Raw genomic sequence first — 7072 nt, 5'->3', positions numbered from 1 at the left:
AACATATACTTACCAATGCCCAATGATTATAGTTGTAAACATTTATCCCAGATAAAAGCAAACATAGGTCCGCACAACCTGTACATGAACGCTCATACAAGCTTTATTTGTAGTAGCAAAAATCTGGACACAACCAACATGTCTTTTAATTGGTGATAGTTTAAAAACAAACTATCCTCTATAAATACCACGGAATTTTACTCAGCAGTATAAAAGAACAGGCATTTCCATATCTATAACATTCTTGAAATGACAAAATGATGAAAGAAAACATATTAGTGGTTGTCGACTGTTAGGAATGGTAAGGGTAAGTGAGTAAGAGTGACTATAAACAGGTAGCAGGAGGGAGACATGGTTGTGATGAAATAGTAATAGTTCTGTATCTTGATTTTGGTGGTGATTATGCAAGTCTACATATGTGATCAACTGACATTGAACTATATACACACATTATACCCAGTCTCAGTTTTCTGGTATTCGTATTGTATTTTATTTATGCAAGATGAACCCATTAATGAGATCCCATACTCAAGAACTCTATGTACTTCTGTGTAACTTTCTGTGACTATATAATCATTTCAAAATAGTGTCAGCTATATCTCAAGCCCTCCTCTGGGGTCTAGGATTACAGAAATAAGCAAATCAATGAGTCTTGTTCTCAGTAGGCTTACTCACATTGTAATGAGAGAAACAGACAACAAGCGATGTATAAAATACACACTATATTAGTGATCAGTATTAAGTAAAAAATAGAATGGTGGGATTAAGAATTTCAGGGAGTAGTCAATGGGTTAAGCTTTCATAGAAGATCATCCTGAAAAATTTGAGAAGAAAGCATTTGCATAAACACTCAATGGAGAAATGTATAAGGATATCTAAACTTTGAAGGGACAGCAAGCGCAAAAAGCACTGAGCATGAAGTGTGCCTGGGTTGCTGGAGAAACCAGCCCTGGACTGACTCTAAGGCAGTCATCTGCTTATTCTGCTCCAGGAAGAAGCATTTATTGAATACCATTTGTTTCTAATATAAGAAATTAAGTGATTCAGGTTAAAATACTGCAAATTAGGGAAATGAGGGTATGTTAGGCAAATTATTCAGGCAAAATCTGACCACTCAAACCACTTTCTAGCAGGTTAAAATGTACCTACATTCTCACACTTTATTTTAGTTAAAATGCAAATAATTATCTTGTAATTTTTAACACTTTATTTCTTTTTTAAATATAATATCCTTGGATAGTTTGGGGCTCAGTGAAATCAGTTTTGATTAAAGATAGAAGAGACCTTCCACTAAAATAGTGGGCTCTTTGTTTAAGAGGAGATCAGGGGCTTCATGGAGAAACATGGACAAATTGTTCAATTTGCATAGAGCTGGCCTTGACTTATGATTTATTATATTCAGTGGATAGTAGTCCAGTTCTCCAGTTTCCATTGCCTATATAGACATGGTCCTTGAGAAAAACTGTCAAATAGCTTTATTTTTAAAGAAAAATTACTTGAAGAAAACCCACTGAAGCAACAGAATTTGACAATACAAGTACAAACATGGTTTCATAATAGTTATTCTGCTTAGGTATTAGGTTGGTGCAAAAGTCATCGCGGTTTTTGTCATTAAAAGTAATGGCAAAAACCGCGATGACTTTTGCACCACAATAAGTTGATTGCCCCCAATCAAAGGTCGTTATGTGAAGGGAACAGATGATTTAAATGGCCCCAGTCAAACCACATTGCATATTACACATGGTAATAAAAAAGGTATCAATTCCATACGTTTCTTCTAAGTTAAACAAGTCATGCTTGCAGCTATAGACTAAGAAGGCATTTCACCTTGAACTTGCGCTGAGGAAGAATTCTTTAGTGTGTAAACTATAAGACATTGAGATGCAATCTATCTTCTGAGTCACATCAGCTGGTTAATTCCATCACAAGTGAAATGACCGAAACTAATCTCACACCAACATTCCAATGGCAATACAACTTTAATTAGGTCAATTCTTCCATTCCCTATTACTTAGCCCAAACACGCAAGTTAGTGACTCATGTCACCCTGTCAGCATCTCCACAAACAGTTGCAGCTGCATTCATTTGAACTGGATACTCAAAAAGCCTACTGTGTCCTTATCCATTGTAATTTTTTCCGTTTTTATGCCTCTGCTAATTTGAAATAGCCTCCAGTTACATTCAGGTAAAACACACCTTAAAGGCATTGATTGTCTTTTCTGCAAAATCTGCTCTTATTTTAATTGATACCCAGGTTATAGAACTGACACCTTATACAAAGCAGCCTGAGCCTGACAGTCAGTACTGGAGAGGCTCCCAGGGACCTCCTTACACCTGCTCTGTTCACCTTCCTATGCTTTGGCTGCTCAAAGTTCCAGACTGACTTAGCTTTACAGCTACTCCGTCCTTGATCCGTTTATGCTTGGCCCTAAATTGTTAATTTCTGCATGATGGAACTTCCAGAGTGTGGTTCTATGCACTGAGGAGGTGACTAACTACATCAGAAAAGGTGGGTTGGGGGTTATTAAAATGTATATTCTCCAAGACACCAATTCTGAACATTAAAAATAAGAAATCCTAGAGTCTGTGTATCTAAATATGTTCCAGGTAATTTTCAGAATCAGCTGCGCTTGACTTCTGCTGCATAGGGTGTTCAGTATGCTGAACTCCAACTTGCCTGCTTGCCTCCATGATTATACTAACTTCAATGCACTTGTTTTCACTCCCCTCCCTTTCCTAGGTTTTATATTTCAAACATCGTTTTAAATATCAATACCTGTGGGTTTTTTTCTTAGACCCAACTTGATATCCTGTTGCTATGTGCTGGCAGAATCTCTACACTTATTCAATGACAGCATTTATTGCATTTTCATTTATTTTAGAATTCGCTTATTTATCTTGTTTAAATGCAGTTAACTATTGTATGCCGCTAAGTAGCACAGCAATGTGCATTGACAAATGAAATAAATAATGAATAAACCAATCAGAGCATATGTTCTCTCCTGAAATGAAACAGAGTTTTCCTACTTACCTTTGTTGCTCTTTACTTGATCTTTAATCTCTTTGCTGTTCCTACAGTTTCAGTATATAACCGTTTTTCTGAGAGGTGACAGCATGCTGGCAGCCCTCACAGCCCTCGCTCGCTCTGGGCGCCTCCTCGGCCTTGGCGCCCACTCTGGCCGCGCTTGAGGAGCCCTTCAGCCCGCCGCTGCACTGTGGGAGCCCCTTTCTGGGCTGGCCAAGGCCGGAGCCGGCTCCCTCAGCTTGCGGGGTGGTGTGGAGGGAGAGGCACGGGCGGGAACCGGGGCTGCGCGCGGTGCTTGCCGGCCAGCGCGAGTTCCGGGTGGGCGTGGGCTCCGCGGGCCCCGCACTTGGAGCGGCCGGCCGGCCCCGCCCGCCCGCGGCAGTGAGGGGCTTAGCACCTGGGCCCGCAGCTGCTGTGCTCGACTTCTTGCCGGGCCTTAGCTGCCTCCCGGCGGTGCAGGGCTCCAGACCTGCAGCCCGCCATGCCTGAGCCTCCCCTAACACCGTGGGCTCCTGTGCCGCTGGAGCCTCCCTGACGAGCGCCGCCCCCTGCTCCAAGGCGCCCAGTCCCATCGACCACCCAACGGCTGAGGAGTGCCGGCACAGGGCGCGGGACTGGCAGGCAGCTCCACCTGCGGCCCCGGTGCGGGATCCACTGGGTGAAGCTAGCTGGGCTCCTGAGTCTGGTGGGGACTTGGAGAACCTTTATGTCTAAGGGATTGTAAATACACCAATGGGCACTCTGTATCTAGCTCAAGGTTTGTAAACACACCAATCAGCACCCTGTGTCTAGCTCAGGGTTTGTGAATGCACCAATGGATACTCTGTATCTAGCTACTCTGGTGGGGACTTGGAGAACCTTTACCTCTAGCTAAGGGATTGTAAATACACCTATCTGCACCCTGTCAAAACGGACCAATCAGCTCTCTGTAAAATGGACCAATCAGCAGGATGTGGGTGGGGCCAGATAAGAGACTAAAAGCAGGCTCCAGGAGCCAGCAATGGCAACCCGCTCGGGTCCCCTTCCACGCTGTGGAAGTTTTGTTCTTTTGCTCTTTGCAGTAAGTCTTGGTGCTGCTCACTCTCTGGGTCCACACTGCCATTATGAGCTGTAACACTCACCACTAAGGTCTGCAGCTTCTCTCCTGAGGCCAGCCAGACCAGGAACCACCAGGAGGAACGAACAACTCCAGATGTGCTTCCTTAAGAGCTATAACACCCACTGCGAAGGTCTGCAGCTTCACTCCTGAGCCAGCGAGACCACGAACCCACCAGAAGGAAGAAACTCCAAACACATCCGAACATCAGAAGGCACAAACTCCGGACACGCCGCCTTAACTGTAACACTCACCGCGAGGGTCCACAGCTTCATTCTTGAAGTCAGTGAGACCAAGAACCCACCAATTCCGGACACAGTTCTAGCATCAGTTTCTACCCTGCCCAGTCTATAAATAATTTTCTGAGATTTTTACAATTCTTCAACTTCCTCTGTTATAATATCCTTTTTTAGTATTTAATATTAGCCCTCAGTAGGTTGGGTTTGCTTGGAATTCCCTATTCATTTGGATTTTAAAATCCTGTATTTCTCCAAATGCTAGTTAGAATTTTTTATTTGTAATTCTAGATCCTTAGGATCATTTGATTCTCTGTCTTTCAGTGTAACTGATCTCAACACCACAATCCAAACCACATTTCCATTCCAGAGTTGCCAGGAATTTTTGGAACATACTGATGTGGTGCTAACACCATTACTTTATCATGAGTCTTTCCTGATCTCCCCAGTATTGATTTGTAAGATATTGTATAACTACTGTGTGTACTTTTCTAGGCTCAATAAAATATGATCTTTCTTCTTTTGGCCTCATAATTCTTTATACATTGCTATGCTATTAACTGAAATATTTTGAATTATTTATGTGCTTGTCAAATTCTCTAACCAAACAAATATAATTTGGTCTCAACCGACAATCTGGGAATTAATGTAAGAAATCTCCCAGTGGAACATAGTAAAGGTAAGTGAAAATAGTATGCAGTATTTTGGGATTGCTTGTGGAGCTCTACAACTATCAATATGCCTAAAGTTTTACTTTTTATCAATTCTAATTTTATTGGCTTGTATCACAGTATTACCACTTCCTAATTATTTAATCCTGAACAACAGCATTAGTTTCTTCTATCTTCATATTTTTATTTTGTAAAATTGAGTTAGTAATAGATCCCTTCATTGGTTTGTCATGTTAAGAAAGTAAAAATATTTAATTAAAATATGATACTAATATATTAGGTACTCAATAAATAGTCCCTGTCATCATAATTGCCAGGATTATCACCATGAGGTAGATAAAAAGACTCAATTAAATTTTAGTAAATTTGAGTACTAGCACTGAACTGGGGAACAGTGATCTCTGGCATCAAGCAGAGGTTTGGCTCTAGGCATTCTCCTGGATTTCTCTATGTTTTGGATTATTATGATAATTACAATAGAGGCCATTGAAGCAATTGGGTACAACTCCCTCAGATACAGCAACCAAATATGGATAATATACAGAAGAAACAGCAAGACTTTTGCACTAGCACCACCACACAGTCATGAGGCCATCCACACATTTTAAGGCTTCTAAACAAAAATGTTCGTAAAAGTACAAAACCAGAAATATAAAACCACTAGCACATACATCATAATAAATTATATTTAGGAACTGCATTCTATCAACGTGTAGAAATATTATAAATTCATAAAAAATAATTTTAAAATTTACATTTTCTAACATGAAACAAATTGTCCTGTATGTTTTAGTTAAGTGCTGTAAAGTAATACATATATTTATGTCCTCATTTCTGGATAAAATTAGGTATTAATGCAAATTATATTACCACATAAATACAATTCTTGAATAATATACAGTTCATTGATGTATGTAGTTATTTCTGGGAGATGGATGTTGAAAGACTTCCACTTTTAAAGGTATATCTTTTATAACATTATATTTTTGCATGAAAAAAGTGTCATTTTTGTACATTTAATAAGAAGATTTAAATGGCCTAAAGGGGAACATTATAATTATATTAATAGAGTGGATGTTTTCCTAGCTGTAACTTTTTAATCAGAGTTGGTAAAATGAGAAGTGGGGGAAAGTTGTTGCAGATCATTTACCTAGGTCATTTCTTAGTTTTTCTCTTCTATGTAATTATGTAATATTTTTGTCTTCTATGTAATATTACAAAATATCCTATGTAATTATGGTACATCTGTACACTAGAGGGAATGTTCTTTCTATGCTTAGAACACAGCAAGCTTCTGAAAGCCCAATGCATTATTTACTGCACTCCATAGCCAATGATCTTCAACAAGGAGCCAAGAACATGCAATGGGAAAAGTATAATCTTTTCAACAAATATTTAGATACTGGATATTCACATGCAAAAGAATAAAATGTGCCCTAATAACTTACACAGAAATCAACTCCAACTGGATTAAAGATGTAAATGTAAGAGATGAAATTGCAAAACTCTTAGAAGAAAACAGGGAAAAAGTCTTATGACATTGATTTTGGTAATGACTTTCTGGTTATGATCACAAAAGTACAAGAAACAAAGGCAAAAATAGACAAATGGGGCTACTTCAACACTTCAAACTAAAAAGCTTCTGTACACCATAGAAAGCAATCAACAAAGTGAAAAGGCAACCTACAGAATGGAAGAAAATGTTTGTAAACAAATATTTGGATATTTGTGTTAATATCCAAAATACACTACAAATTTCTGCAACTCAATAACAAAATAACTTGATTTAAAAATTGGCAAAATATTTGAATAGACATTTCTCTGAAGAATACATACAAATAACCAAAAGATATGAAAAAAATGCTCTACATCACTAATTATCAGGGAAATGCAAATCAAAACCACAGTAAGATTACACTTTTCATGTGTTATAATGGCTACTGTTTTAAAAAGATACCAAGTTTTAATGAGGATGAGGAGAAATTGGAATCCTTATACACTGTTGATAGGAATGACAAATTGTACAGCTGCTATGGAAAATATT

At 38.9% G+C, this 7072-nt stretch overlaps 2 annotated features.

Annotated features, from left to right (window-relative positions):
- Positions 271-471: a silencer, noted in NCBI's record as "peak6820 fragment used in MPRA reporter construct". NCBI's record gives its function as "represses an SCP1 promoter by STARR-seq MPRAs in K562 erythroleukemia cells {active_cell/tissue: K562}" and the evidence as "EXISTENCE:reporter gene assay evidence [ECO:0000049][PMID:32103011]".
- Positions 891-1091: a silencer, noted in NCBI's record as "peak6819 fragment used in MPRA reporter construct". NCBI's record gives its function as "represses an SCP1 promoter by STARR-seq MPRAs in K562 erythroleukemia cells {active_cell/tissue: K562}" and the evidence as "EXISTENCE:reporter gene assay evidence [ECO:0000049][PMID:32103011]".

This window comes from Homo sapiens, chromosome 7, assembly GCF_000001405.40.
Source record: "Homo sapiens chromosome 7, GRCh38.p14 Primary Assembly".
NCBI lineage: Eukaryota > Metazoa > Chordata > Mammalia > Primates > Hominidae > Homo > Homo sapiens.
Note: the sequence above shows the minus strand (reverse complement) of the source record. Positions and strands in the feature narration are given on the sequence as shown.